A 14,818-nucleotide genomic window follows, 5' to 3' on the forward strand; every position below is an offset into this window, starting at 1 on the left:
CTTTACAGGTCTTGAACCTCTGTAAGCCCCATTTCTTTATCTATAATCTGTGAATTTATCTGATAAAATTTTGTGCTTTAAAAGAGATAATACATTTTACATGGATTAGCATGTTGCCTGCATCATAGTAAGCCCTCAGTAAATGTTATGGCATTGCTGCTAATGCTGCTGTAGTTTGGAATATGAGGATTAAATTGTGATTAAAGAGGAATGTTGATTAACTCACTCAGCACAATATCTAGCACATAGTAGATACCCAATAAAAACGTTCCTTTTACTCCCATGTTCAAATGCCCACCCCGCCTCTTCCCCATGAATAGGAACAAGTAGATGACTTACTAGCTATAATGAATCTTTTCTTAGATCCCCAACTTGGAAAATGAATGACCAGGTTAATATACTCCTGAATGTTGGTTTTAGAATTAGATTTGCATGGTTTTAAAATAGTTTTTCTTAATTGCACATTAAAAATGTGTATATTAACATTAACTGATTTATCTGGTTGTACAGATGCTATTAACTGAGTACTTGGATATGAAAAATACTCGTACGGCCTCTGAACCATCAGCTCAACTAAGCTATGCCAGCACTGGACGAGAGTTTGCAGCCTTTTTTGCCAAGAAGAAACCTCAAAGGCCAAAAAATTCTCTTTTCAAGTAAGTATTATTCTGCTGTTAATAGGTTTTAAGAATTGTTAGACTGAAGTAAGATGACTTCCTACTTTATTAATAGCCATAACTTTGTCTAGCTTAAGTTGATTGAAGTAATTTAGAGGAAGTGAATATATGTTGAGTTTTATTTATTTTTGTTTTCTGTCAGGTGAAGTGGTTGTTTTGGGTACAGTTACTGGACTACCTGGAACTCCTAATAAAAATTTCTTGAACTTGTTTCAGGGGAGTTTTATTTAAAATTAAGAGAAATGAAACTCCCCAATTGTTTCTGGGGAATTTTATATGAAATGAAAGGAAATGAAATATATTAGCCTTGAAAAGGCCCCAAGAGCCAAGAAACAACCTTTGTTAATAAAGTTATGCAAATGTTTCTAGCTAAGCAGTATTGGGCCTTATGTGGTTACTTGTTTAATAAAAGAACAATCTGGGTTTTTTTTTATCTAATTATAACCTTAGTTAACTCCATGAACCCATGTGCCCAAAGTGTATATCTCTTGGCAACAGCTAATAGTTAATAATATTGATAATAACTTCAATAGTAACAACAGGTACCACTGATTAAGTGTTTCCTAGGTATCAGGCACTGTACTGGGTGAGTTTCCCAAAATAATCTCAGTTAAACATACTTTAAATTTGAGTATACTAAATTTTAGCAGCAGCAGTAGTAGCTAACGTTTATTGAGTTCTTACTAAGTGCTAATCAAGGCATTAAATTATTCTCATAGCTTATTTTATTTACTAATTACAACAACCTTATAGGCAAGGGTTGTATTTTTAATACTTTTGTACATATAAAAAAATAGAGACATGAAAGGTTAAGTAATTTACAGAAGGTCTCATAGCTAGCATGTGGTAGAAGGAGGATTTAAATCCTGGCAGTCTTACTTTAGATCTGTTTTCTTTTGAGGATTTAGTAGATATTTAAGAAGTTGTGTCTGTAAATATAAGCATGTAAAGTGACCACCACTGAAGTATCCCAGTATATTGAATTTATTCTTTTTCAGCAGTTGGAGATCTAATATCTTCTGTTGATTCACATTTGAGGCTTGTTTTTATCTTAGATTTTTAGTGTTTTTAATAATTAAAGCTTCAACAGTTTATTTATTTTGTGATCTAGCAGAGAGGAGATTTATTTAGTATATCCCTGCCAGAAATGAAATCTATTCTGTTTATTGAATGCATTCCTTTTTAAACAGTTTTATTCAGAGAGTGGATGCAATATCAGTTACAATGCTTTAGGCTGCAAGTAACATAAAACTTTAAATACAATAGATTGAACTATAGGAAAGTTACTATCTCACGTAACAAGGATGAATGTGGAGGTTTCCTTAATTCAACTGTACAATATCATAAAGGACTCAGCCCTTTCCATCTCTCTGCATTGCCATCCTCAACACATTAGTAATGTTTTCTATTGCGATCACGAGGTGTATCCATCAGTTCCAGTCCAGTAAAGACAGTGTGGGCAAGAAAATTGCATGTGATTCTCCCTGTGAATCTCTCTCTTTAAAAAACATATAGACTTTATTTTTTAGAACAGTTTTAGGTTTATAGAAAAGTAGAGCAGGAAGTACAGAGAGTTCCTTTATATTCCCCGCTTCTCTGCATTTTACCCTATTTAACATCTTGTATTAGCGTCTGTTTGTTAGAATTGATGAACCAGTATTGAGATGTCATTATTAACTAAATTCCATAGTTTACATTAGAGTTCACTCTTTGTGTTGTACAGTTCTAATGGGTTTTGACAAGGCATAAGTTCCCACCATTACAGTGTCATACAGAACAGTTTCACTGCTCTAAACATCTTCCATTCACCACATATTCATCCCTCCACCCTCCCTAACCCCTGGCAACCTCTGATCTTTTGACTATCTCCATAAGTTTTGCTTTTTCCAGAATGTTGTATAGTCAGAATCAGTGTGTAGCCTTTTCAGAATGGCTTCTTTCACTTAGCAATATGCATTTATCTTTCTTCCACATCTTTTTGTGGCTTGATAGGTGTCTCTTTGTATTGCTGAGTAACATTCCTTTGTGTGGATATGCCATAGCTTGCTTATTTACCTATTGAAGGACATCTTGCTTGCTTCCAGCTTCTGGCAATCACGAATAAAGCTGCTTTAAACACTCATATGCAGGTTTTGGTGTGGACATAAATTTTCAACTCATTTTTGTAAATACCTGGGAGCAACATTACTGGATCATTCAGTGATACTATGTTTAGCTTCATAAGACACTGTCAAACTGTCTTCTAAAGTGGCTGCACCATTTTAAATCTTTTTAAATTAGTACTTACGAATTATCAGTTTATTAATCATTTCTGCTAATGACAAAACTCTTCAGCAAGTTCCTATTAAGCTCTAGGATTGGGTCGTAAGCCCATTCCTAAACTAGTCACTGGCAAGGGGAAGCAGATCTCAGTGGTTGTCTTAAACTAGGCAGGTTTCTCTCTGGTGCTAGGTTTCCAGCTGGAGAGGAAGCCACTTTTTCTGAGCACATGGCTGAGTAAAGAGCAAGGAAGCAGAATGCCCAGATGGAATCAGGGCTATGCCAGCAAGCACAAAGATAGTAGAAGGAAAAGGTAGTTGGTAGAGGCAACTGACACTGTCTCAGATGCGCCTAAGCAGGCCCTTTTCTTTTCTTTTTTTTTTTTTCTTTTCTCTATTTCTAGCTCAATTTAACCTTCTAAATATGGAATCATTGCAGAAAACAGGCTTTAGGGTTTAAAGTTCATGCTCTCAACCATCACCGCTGACTTTCAACCTCAGTCAGACCACATACACATTTTCAAACATTTAGCCAGTGCTTCTGAAGTTGTGGTATTGGGAAAAAAAAAAAAAGAAATTGTTGGAAATGAACAAATTGGCTTAAATAATTATTACACATTTTTTATTATTGGGCAGTAATGAAACTTATCACAGACACAGAATTAGGCCGTTATTACAGATTTGTCTGTTTCCAGTCTTGGTGCTATCATTGAGCCCATGTGTGTCTGAGCAGGTCTCAGTATCTCTGGATATAAACTAAGGAGGTGAGACTCAATCTCTAGTGCCTCTTTTACTGCAAAATTATATCAGTCTGTGACTTGTTGCAGACATAAAAAGAATTCCTGAGTACCAAAAATACATCAAGTCATAAAGGATTAAGATTTTGACTGTTTTTATCACATCTGTGGAGGACTTTATTACCCTCTTTAATTACCCTTAGCTAAGGTTAATTAAGTCTGTTTAAGTCCTGCCTTATTGTGCTATGTGTGCCTCTCTATTCTTTGCTTAAGAGTTTATTTATTTTTTTTCTTTGCCGTATCTGATCAATAGCTGTCAGCATGCTTTTTGGAGGTCAGTGGCTTCTTTTCTGCACTTGACTGGCAGGTGGCATGTTTGAAGTACTGCACACTTTGCCTTCTTTCTGGCTGTTAGTACCCTCTTAGTTCTTGGCAGGGTGCAGAGAGGGGATCACGTAACCCAAGTGTTTCCCTCACAGACTGACATTCATCTCAGTATTCATGTTCCTTGTCAAGGAAAGGATAAAGAAGGCATAATTAAGAAAATGATGGTGTGCCTGCCTTGTTGCCAGAAACCTATCCCATTAGCACTGTTGCTCGTACTATGTTGCTGCTTTTACCCCTTAGTGGCAGTCATTCTTAGAAGGATTCCTCCATCTGGCAGGTTGTTATCCTGCCTTTGAAATCTCAGTTTGAAATGGGATCTCTTATCACATCAAAGGATTTACTGTTTGATATGTCATAATTTTATCTGTTTTTTTTCTTACTTGCACGTTTATCTTAAGACTGATTTGTTTTTGTTATTTCTTTTTGTAGTTATTATTTTAGGTTTTAGAAACCTGTTCTTTATCATGAGTCTCTCCCTCCTTCTCCCTCCTTCACCAGTGTTTCTAACCTCTGAAATAGTTCCTGGGTAGGTGTGAACAAATATTGCGTAGCTTGGTATTTTTGAGAGTATTTTATATTGTAGGCAGCACGTCAAAAAACTAGCAGCCATTTAGAAAAGAAACTGTTTTTTAGGCCATTTAGGGAGAGATTATAGCTGCCTTGCTTTTCTGGTGCTGTTATTCAGCCACATTTCTAGTATGTCCTTTGTCTAGTCCTCTACCTGTGGAAGTTAGGCATGAGTTCTGCTCTGAGGAGCCAGTGTGTCTGTGTTGGTAGCTGGCAGTCACTGGTGACTTCTGAGCTGGATGGTAACGTAATTAGAATGACTTCATAGGATGCTTTCGTTGCTGCATGTATAAGGATCCTGGCTAAAGGCTGATGGGGGTCTGAAAGCAAAAGGAAGTTGGGACAGATCACAGTTGTACCAGTTGAAATGCAGAATAAGCAAAAGATCCAAATACGGTTGTAAAGGAGCCTTAGCCAGGAATATCGCTCATAAATCAAGGTCTGCGGCAGCTGGCCCTGGCCCTGTCATGGTATAGCCAAAGTGTCTTCATCACGGAACATCGGGGAGCACCACACAGACCAGAGTAGAATAATGTGGAATACAGAGCTGGTCAGCACTTAATTGGTTTACACCTGCTTGTCTGTTTCCCCTGTGTTTCTCTGCAGGTTCGAATCGTCCTCCCATGCCATCAGTATGAGCGCCTATCTGCGAGAACAGAGAAGGGAGCTCTATAGTCGGAGTGGAGAACTGCAAGGTGAGTGATTGAGCTTCTCTGGAAAAATTAATTTTCTGGAGGAGTATTTCCTTTATTACACATGAGTTTGTGTCCTGCATTCACACGATCCTTTCAAGGTAACAAACACTTAGTGACTTAATAATTTGTTTCTTCTGTAATTTCCCAGCATCTGCTGCCAAGCAGGTAAAACTATTACTGTGGCCATAGGACTTGTAGACCTGCTACTGTTCAAGTGGGAATTCAAAGCAAAAAGAGATGAGGCCAGGCTCGTCTTGCTTAAACAGAAGACCTGAGTCCAGTCACAATCTAGGAGAATGTTGGTCTTCTGCGACTGCCACTGTTACTTCTAATTGTTGTTTTTGACACCTTCTAGAATATGACAGGAGTACCTGAGATTTGGGAAAGGGAAAATGCAACCACTGTCATTATTTAAAGGGAAAAAGATGCCTCTAAATAGTATGTTATAATCAATATAACTGTGATGAACAGGCTATTTGATACCCATGTATAGTTACCAAAGAGTTGTAAGCTGAAGAAGAAAATATTTAGAAAATAAATTAAATATAAATAAATATATTAGACTGATAACATTTCCTTCTGTGACAAAAAGATGCTGATCATGTAAATGTAATGAGTTAAGAAAGGTTTGGAGGTCAGGTGTGGTGACTAACACCTGTAATCTCAGCACTTTGGGAGACTGAGGCAGGCAGATCACTTGAGTCCAGGAGTTCAAGACCAGCCTGGGCGACATGGCGAAGCCCTGTCTCTATAAAAAAATACAAAAATTAGTTGGACATGGTGGCACGTGCGTATTCCCAGCTACTCAGGAGGCTGAGGTGAGATTGCTTGAGCCTGAGAGGCAGAGGTTGCAGTGAGCTGAGATCATGCCACTGCACTTCAGCCTGTGTGACAAAGTGAGACCATGTCTCAAAAAAAGAAAAAAAAAAAAACAACAAAACCACATTGGTGAGGGCCTGCTAAGTGTAAGACATCTTAGGTGTTGGAAGTAGTGGAAGTTGGGTACAAAGAAATATAAAGCTTAAAGATCTAGTTATGAAAGTAAAGTATACATATGTGTGTGTGCATATATACATACACACACAGAGATACACACACACACACACGTCAATAACAATATCAGGAAGTAAATACTAACAACTGAGTGGGTGGTATGGATAAATTGCTAGAGAAATTACAAGAAAGGAGTGATTACATAAATTGTTTTAGAACTCTGGGCTTTTCTCCATGAGGGATGGGAACGAATACTTTTACTGTCTTGATGCGTTGGGCTCACGTAGCATTTTGCAGTGACTGGCCTGTGTAATTAAATATTTAGTCTTTAAGACTCATAATTCTGTACCAAAACACTATGAAGTAACCACTCAACCTTTCTTGATTTAAAGACTATTGCCTTGTCATTCCTAACTTCACCTTTGTTATTAATAGAATAACCTGTAAGTTTTTCCAAAGATGCTGCTGTACTCTCTCATATTTATATCACAGTAATAGTTCTACAGCCCATAAATGTGGTCACCAGAAGTAAAAGCCTAGAAGTATGTTTAGGGTATTAGGAAGAGGAGATTAGCCTACCAACATTTTATTTAATATGAAAGGGTTGTCATGCATTCTGGAAGACATGCAATGTGCATGTCGAGAGTCTTGATGTAGAGGAGTACAGACTGTCATTAGACCTGGAACAAGTGAAAGGACAGAAAGGAGTGAAGGAGGAGGGTGACTCATGCTCTAGCAGGCTTTCTCTGCCTCCCAGGAGAAGAGGCTAGGCTGCCAAGAGTGAAAGGAAATGATGATAACAGAACATACATTATTGCAGGAGGTAGGATTGTGCTCGAACTGCCCTTAGCAGGCTATCTAAGGCTAGTGTATCTTCCACACTCACGGTATCCTAATTTTAATTTCTCTTCAGATTTGCCTTAAGGAATAGTTTAAATTTGCCTCCATATTTTCTCTACACCTGTCTTCTAATACACATAAATTTATTTGATGGTGACAAAGCATCTCCTTTCTTCTTTTTAGGTTGAGTCCTAATTATTTTCTTTCTTAAAAATTAATAAACACTATCTGTTAGAGCAGTTATAAGGTCCCAGCTAAATTGAGTGGAAAGAACAGAGTTCCTGTGTGCCCTTGTCCCCACACATGCCCACCTTCCTCCAGTGTCGACATCCGTCAGCACAGTGCAGCCTTCCATTTGACCCTTCTAGTGAACAGGCAGAGCATGTCCCTATGGTTACATAGGGACCGAGGACCTCTCATCGCTCACTCACACTCAAGCATAAATAGTCAACAAGGGCACAGGACTAGTGGCAGATTCTTTATGCTTGTATGAGTGAGAATGGAGAGCACTCTGCAGCAGCCGTGGGAAGGCTTTTCAGTCCTGCCCCAGTGGTCCACGCTCTCTTGAGAGACAGTATAGGGTGGCAGTGCAGAGTAGGTGGCTCTGGGCCCAAGTCACCTCCATTTAGATACCTAGCTCCCCAGCACTTGCTTTGTAACCTCCAGCAAGTTCCATGGTCTCTGTGCCTCTTTTTCCTTTTCTCTAAATGGGAATAAAAGTAACACTCCCTACTCCATGAGGTGGTTATGAAAATTAGGTGAGTTAAGCTAGGAAGTGTTTCAAAAAGTGTCTGACATATAGTGAATGCTATGCCTTTCTTCTTCTCCTCTATTTCTAGTACTGTGGTGTGACTTCAGAGTATTCACACACATTCTGTTTGTCCTTTCTGTCATCTTTATATGGCTAAGCCCTCCTGAGCTTTCCAAGTTAAATTTAGGTATCGCTCATTTGGATGGGCTTCCCTGTTGGTCCCTCCTCTCTCAGCCTGTCACAAATACACACACATTCTGGGGTTGTGGCCCCTGCTGTGTGTTACTGCCACATCTTTAATGATGTTCTTCTGAGTACTTTCCATACTGCATTGTGGAACAATGCTCTCTTGTTTGAGTTTGCCACGAAACTATAAGCTGCAAGAGCAAAATACTATTTTATTTCCTGTGCTTCTCACAGCACCTGGTACAATAAATGTTTGATAAATACTGGTTGACTTAGTGACAGAATGAATGAGGACAGTTAGGATCTAAAATAGGATAGAGAGCACCATGGAGAGGCAGGAAGGGCCTGAAAGGAACCACTTTCAGCTTTATAGTTTTCCATTAGTCTTTAAGTTGAAGGCAAAGTAGAGGGTATACATATATGGTTTTGTCCTCTGCAGTTATAAGCTTTATTAAATAGAAATATTGCCCTTGAGCTCTCTGGCCCAGGACAAAACTACTGTATGTAATTGAAAAACATTTTAAAATCTAAGTGACAGAGGAATTTTACTCTGTGAGGATGGTTAATGGAGAAATCACTACAATCTAACTAGGAATTTTCCCATCCTTCAAAAAGTTAATTGAAATATGGGCTTTCAAGCACAAGTCGATTGAACTTACCAGTTTTCAGCAAGGAATATTTCTGGTTACAACAGAAGAAAAGTAATAGTTAGCAACCACATTATGTTCCTAATAATCATTAAAAATACTTTAGGTGAGCTGACATATTACACACTTGGTGAGAGAATAAATCAGTGGACCAGTTTTTGTAAAAGTCTGATGGTGTTTCATTCAGGAGGAAAAGTTTCTCTGATGAATGCTTTTAACATTTCAACAGGAAAAAAGAGAAGAAAATCATACCTGTCTTCCATTAAAAACGGCTGTCCTTTTTCAGTTATTCCATTAATGACTGGTCCAAGGACCACAATGAGATCTGCATTTCAGCTTGTCCCTGAAAAGGCATAATTGAATAGTTCAGTCAAACCGTAAGAGACTAAGGGAAGATTTTTGTTTCTTCTGTTAACACCATATAGCGGCAGGCTTTGCTTCCCAGTAATTTCGGTTCATACGTCAACTTTTCCTTCCGTTGCAGGGTAGCGGCGAAGAAATCCACCAGAAAGACAATCAAAGTAACATTAAAAAGCTCAAATTTTACAAAAGTTAAGTTCCTGCCAACATTTTCAATTTATCATACAATTAGAAATGTGACTCAGTCTAACAACACCCAAGAGGATAAAAGGATTAAAAAAATGAGATTTCTTTGGTGTTATCAATGCATCTCAATAGGCTCTAACTGTTATGGTACAGATGGTTCATTATATAGTCTGCTGTTGGCAGTTGGGCTGCGGAGATGTGGGTGCTGCTTCAAAATGTGTGAGATACCAGGTGGAGATCTAACTTGTGGGTGTGTCAGTGTTAATCATAGGCTTCCTGTGGTTTTAGTCTCTGCCGCTTCATTGTACTTAGCAGTGCTGGGAGTGAAGAAAGATACAAGTTTTAATGAACATTTTATTTGAATATAGCTTCTCAGGTTTAATGTATAATTCTTCAGGGGAATAGATAATTGATGAACACATTATCTGGTGAGGGTTAAAAAAAAACAAAAACAAAAAACAATCTAAAGACTACCACTCATGACCAAAATAAGCTCACAGGTTTATCAATGACATTCTGCCTCAGATTTCTCATAGGAAAAAATTAGAACTGTTTTCAGTCCTGACTACTTTAGGGGAATGTTGTGACTATTAACTTAAATATTAAATTATTAGTATTAGAAATTTCTAAATTAGAAACATTAGATTAGCAATGTTGATTTAAATGATAAAGTGATGTTTTAAAAAATCATTTTGGGCCAGACACAGTGGCTTATGCCTGTAATCCCAGCACTTTGGGAGGCCTGAGGTGCACAGATCACTTGAGGTCAGGAGTTTGAGACCAGCCTGGCCAATATGGTGAAACCCCCTCTCTACTAAAAATACAAAAATTAGCCTGGCGTGGTGGCGGACACCTGTAATCCCAGCTACTTGGGAGGCTGAGGCAGGAGAATCGCTTGAACCTGGAAGGTGGAGGTTGCAGTGAGCCGAGATCGCGCCACTGTACTCCAACCTGGGAGACACAGCGAGACTCCGTCTCAAAAAATAAATAAATAAATAAATAAATAAATAAATAAATAATTAAATAAATGAGTCAGTAATAAATAAATAAAAATTTAAAAAGTATCATCATGGAGTTAAGGGTGCTGCATCTACTTCGTTACTTCCCATTTTCTCTTCAACTCCAGTCCACTGAGTTAGCTCTCCTCCAAGTCACCAGTGACCTCTGCTTGGTAGACTTAATATTAGCTTTTTCTGACATTCATTTCACTTGATCTTTCCGCTGTTTTTCTTTTCTTATCCTCATGTTCTTTCTGAGTCTTGTCAAAAGCCTGTTGGAGTATCTCATGATTTGGTCCTGGGATTTCTTCTGTGCTGACTTTGTAGACTCTCCCCAGATGATCTCAGCCAAGACCAAGCTTCACTCAGTGCCCGAGCACAGCTGACCTCCATGTCTGTGTCTCCTGCCCTTTTCTCATTGTTGTCTAACCTTTTCTAGCATCCCGTCTCCCTACAATATAATTCTTTATCACAATATTTAAAAAAATTTTCTCATTGTACTTTTCTTAATATGTACATGTCTTTTTTAACTTTGTTAACTTCCTTCACTTCCCTTGACCCAGAGTGCAAGCCTTATTCACGGGTACATTTCAGTACCTAGGATAATGCTTGGCTTGAATTAGGCGCTTTAAGACATATATGATGAACACATATGATTCTATCTTTAATATCTCCTTATTTGTAGGTACAAGCCTACTTATTTGAGAAACCCTAGTGGTTGTTTAAATAAACAGACTGGGAGTCCTGTGATTTGTCTTTTCTCATTTTTAAGGATAATAAAACTCATGAATGAGTAAGAGTATATTAATTGCCATTGATTCAAATAGAAATGTATACTCAATTTCCATTATGTTTTCTTTTCTATCTCGGGGCTACTTAATACTTTTGTTTTTATTCAATGATATTACCTTTAGAGTGCCATTTTTATTTCCATTAGTTTAATGAGTGGCCTTTCTATAGCCCTGACATTAAAATGTTCTGTAAATCTCCAACCACTTGAGACCTCACTTCTTTAAGATGATTTGCATTACATAGTAAATATGGACATACTGGCATAGGTAAAAAAGCTCTTATACTGGCCTAACCTGAATTTTCTGAGTTTTTCTCTCTAATGGGTTGTCGGTGACTGGGATTGTGAATACTTGTATGTAATTAATCTCTTCGGGGGTGTCTTGCCTTAAGAAAAGACAGTATTTGAGATAGATTCACTCTGAGTTGATTATCCATTTCTACTAAAAGGATTTATAATAGGAGTCTCTTATATAGCAAGCTGTTCTATAATGGAGCATTTAAGGCAATATTTCACTTTTGCACACATTTTCAGGGTCACTTTGATTGAAGTGAGGTGCATTATTTTGTATAGCAATATTATGCTTATGACATATATTTGTTCTGCAGCCTTAAATATAAGAAGCACTTTCAAAACTTTATACCCTGAAGTTTGATTAGAAAATTCTTTGTTGCCTTCTAGAATTTGCTTAATGACTTCATTAATAACTATGCAACAATATGCAGGGAACATGAAAAAAAGTACATTTTTCTTCTGAAAATTGCATATAATTATTACAAAATAACTTTTAATCTTTCATAGTCATCTTTTCTGTTTTAGCCTCTAAAATAGTGTTTAAAAATTGATTCCCCTTTTCTTCATGGATTTATATTCTTGCTTTTTTTTAAAAGAATGACCTTAACTTACTTATATGTAAGATTTGTCTTATAATAAAGTTATAATAGAATTTTTACAAATGCTCATTTCTTTGTCTATCCCTAAGACATTGTAACTAATAAATATACTTTCCTCAAGTCATGAACAGATTGCATTATTTCAAATCATTTAGGAAATAAAAATATTCTTATGCCAAGATTGTTATCAAGTGTACTACTTTTTAGCCTTAATTGATGTAGACATTTATTTAAAAATATTCTTTAGTTATGGATTTACTTTATATAAGTTGGATTTGTTTTCTGAATAAATCTGATCCATGCAGTATTTTGTCTAGCCAGTAGACAAACCATGCATAGCTGAACCATATGGAAGAGCCTGGAATTTATGGTAAAATGGATCTTGAGAATACAAAATAACCATCACAAAGCCGATTACTCAGTGAAGCCTAAGAACCTCGCTCTTGAGATATGATACTTGGTCATCACACAGAACCAGTTGATGACATCTAACCTTATTTCTAAAAATATTCTATTCATTCATACAGATGTGAGAAAAGAAGGAATGCTGGTAAATGAAACGTAATGTATTTGAGTTTTAAAAGTTGAACAAATGCATTTCTCTACATTTATATTATATGGTTTTTTAAAAAAGCCAAATTTATGGCTGCGCATGGTGGCTCACTCCTGTAATCCCCTCTCTTTGGGAGGCCAAGGTGGGTGGATCACCTGAGGTCAGTAGTTCGTGACCAGCCTGACCAATATGGTGAAACTCTGTCTCTACTAAAAATACAAAAATCAGCTGGGTGTGGTGGTATGTACCTGTAGTCCTAGCTAGTCAGGAGGCTGAGACAGGAGAATTGCTTGAACCTAGGAGGTGGAGGTTGCAGTGAGTCAAGATCGTACCACTGTGCTCCAGCCTGGGCGACAGAGTGAGACTCCATCTCAAAAAACAAACAAACAAACAAAAAAAACGAAATTTGTGTAAAAAGTTTTTGTTTTCAGAACAAAAACTTCTGAAATGATGCAACAGGGAAATTTAAAAGTTAACTTATATCTCATATTTTCAATTATTTGGTTCACATTGGTTTTTTAATAAGGTAAAAATAACAGCTTTGCTCATCTTATTAGACATTTTTTAGGCCCACAAGAAAGTATATTTTTGGCTATTCTAATAGTTTATATAATACCACTCATTATGAGTTAAGCCTTGTTAAAATATGGAGAAGACCACAAACATTTATGGCATATGGTAAAGAAAGTAATTATTAGAAACAGATGAAAATACTAAATAATGAATTTATTATTGTCCCAATAAACACAATTCATAAGATAATTTTATATTTGAAAATGAAGTTTGGATCCTTTTAGGAATACTAATAGTATCAATAGAAATTTTCCTTTATGAAGGGAGCTATTAATTAACAAAATTCAGAAGAAATTTATGTAAACATGCAGGTAATGTGATATCTGGAAAATAAAACAGTAGATTTTAGTGCTAGAAAGTGCTTTAGAACTCATAGTCTAGTGCTTTTTAAATTCATTTTTAGTTATAGAACTCTTCTTCTATTTAATCTTATTTCACAGTTCAAGGTAGACAACAGGTAAAAGTGGAGATAGTTTAACAAAGTGGGGGTGAGGATTCAACCTCACTTCATCTTTTTCTTTTTCCTTCCTCTGTGTGGGCACCCAGGGTACTATTTAAAACACTAAAGACTCAGAGGCAGACATATGGAAATATTATATGAGGGAGAAATGACTTTACAAAGTTTAGGAAGAGGACAGACCAGTCAATAAAGAATGGTGAGACAATTGATCATGCATATAGGAAAAAAACAAAGAAATTGGATTTGTACCTCATATCATTTAGGGAAATAAATTTCCAATAGGTTGATAACTCAAATGTGAAAGGCAAACCTATTCAGAATGTTCATAGCAACATTGTTTTAGTAGCAAAAACCGAGAAACAGCTCAAATGCCCATAGAAAGAAGGATGGATATGTAAGTTGTTGTAGAGTCACAAAGTAGAATACTATGTAGCAATGAAAATGAATGAACTATGCTATACATTGAGTTGGTTGAATCTCAAAGGTAGTCATATAAGAAAATATTAGATAATATATTAGAAATTAGATTATATATAGAAATGTAAACATTTATAATGTAATATATATAAAATCTCTATATAAAGTCTAATATAAATCTAATATCTTACACATGTAAACTTAATATGTAATATATATGAATCTAATATATAATATCTAATATATTTAATATATATAAAATCTAATGTCATTTGTATGAAGGTCAGAAGCAGGCAGAACTGAATAGCCTATTTCATAGGAATATATCCTGTGTGATAAAAAAATGAAGAAGGTAAGGGCATAAATATAAAAGTCAAGGAAAACATCACCTCTGGAGAGGATGGAGGAGGGTTGTAACCAAAGAGAGGATCTCGTGGGGATTCAAAGATCCTAGTAATGTTCTCTTTCTTAAGCTGTTACAGAAATACTGTTGTTTTATTCTTTTAAAAACTGTACAAATGTCATATGCACTCATACATTTCATAAAATGTACAGATATAAACAATTTTTTAAGAAGCCTCTTAAAGCTTTAGAGACAAAACCATGTATGTAGTTTAATGTTCCTGTTTAGAAATCGAGAACAAATGTGGAGTTTTCTGGACAGCAGCACTTTTGTTGCAACTCCTGGTATGTGCCAAAGCTGTGAACTACCCCTGAACGAGTACTGTACCTTAAGTCGTCCATGAGAAGGCATCTTTGTGGTTAGAAGAGTTTCCTCCCAACTTACCTGCTCCCTCCATCATCCTCCATCTGGGATGTCAGACACCTAACATTAATTGGAGTCAGCAGC

General features: G+C 36.6%; 1 protein-coding gene and 1 long non-coding RNA gene across 12 annotated transcripts in view; one reads left to right on the forward strand and one right to left on the reverse strand.

Annotated features, from left to right (window-relative positions):
- The window catches only part of EXOC4 (exocyst complex component 4), an 847,874-nt gene that overhangs the window by 221,740 nt on the left and 611,316 nt on the right, over window positions 1-14,818 (forward strand). For 9 of the 11 annotated variants that reach the window (XR_007060126.1, XR_007060125.1, XR_007060123.1 and 6 more), the window contains exons 8-9: window positions 511-656; window positions 5,233-5,321. Coding sequence is in view for 3 of the 11 variants with exons in the window: in NM_021807.4 (NP_068579.3) it covers window positions 511-656; window positions 5,233-5,321 (235 nt within the window). In the remaining 8 variants the exon portion in view is untranslated. Of the gene's footprint in view, window positions 1-510; window positions 657-5,232; window positions 5,322-5,469; window positions 5,876-9,222; window positions 9,381-14,818 lie in introns of those variants that run through there. The other 2 variants (NM_001037126.2, XM_005250523.6) reach the window with 2 other exon arrangements.
- LOC124901748 (uncharacterized) lies at window positions 1,853-9,484 on the reverse strand. The gene is made up of 2 exons (XR_007060530.1): window positions 8,991-9,484; window positions 1,853-5,692 (listed from the first exon to the last, which is right to left on the reverse strand). It is a non-coding gene; the product is annotated as an uncharacterized LOC124901748 (long non-coding RNA).

Source organism: Homo sapiens, chromosome 7, assembly GCF_000001405.40.
Source record: "Homo sapiens chromosome 7, GRCh38.p14 Primary Assembly".
Taxonomy (NCBI): Eukaryota; Metazoa; Chordata; class Mammalia; order Primates; family Hominidae; genus Homo; species Homo sapiens.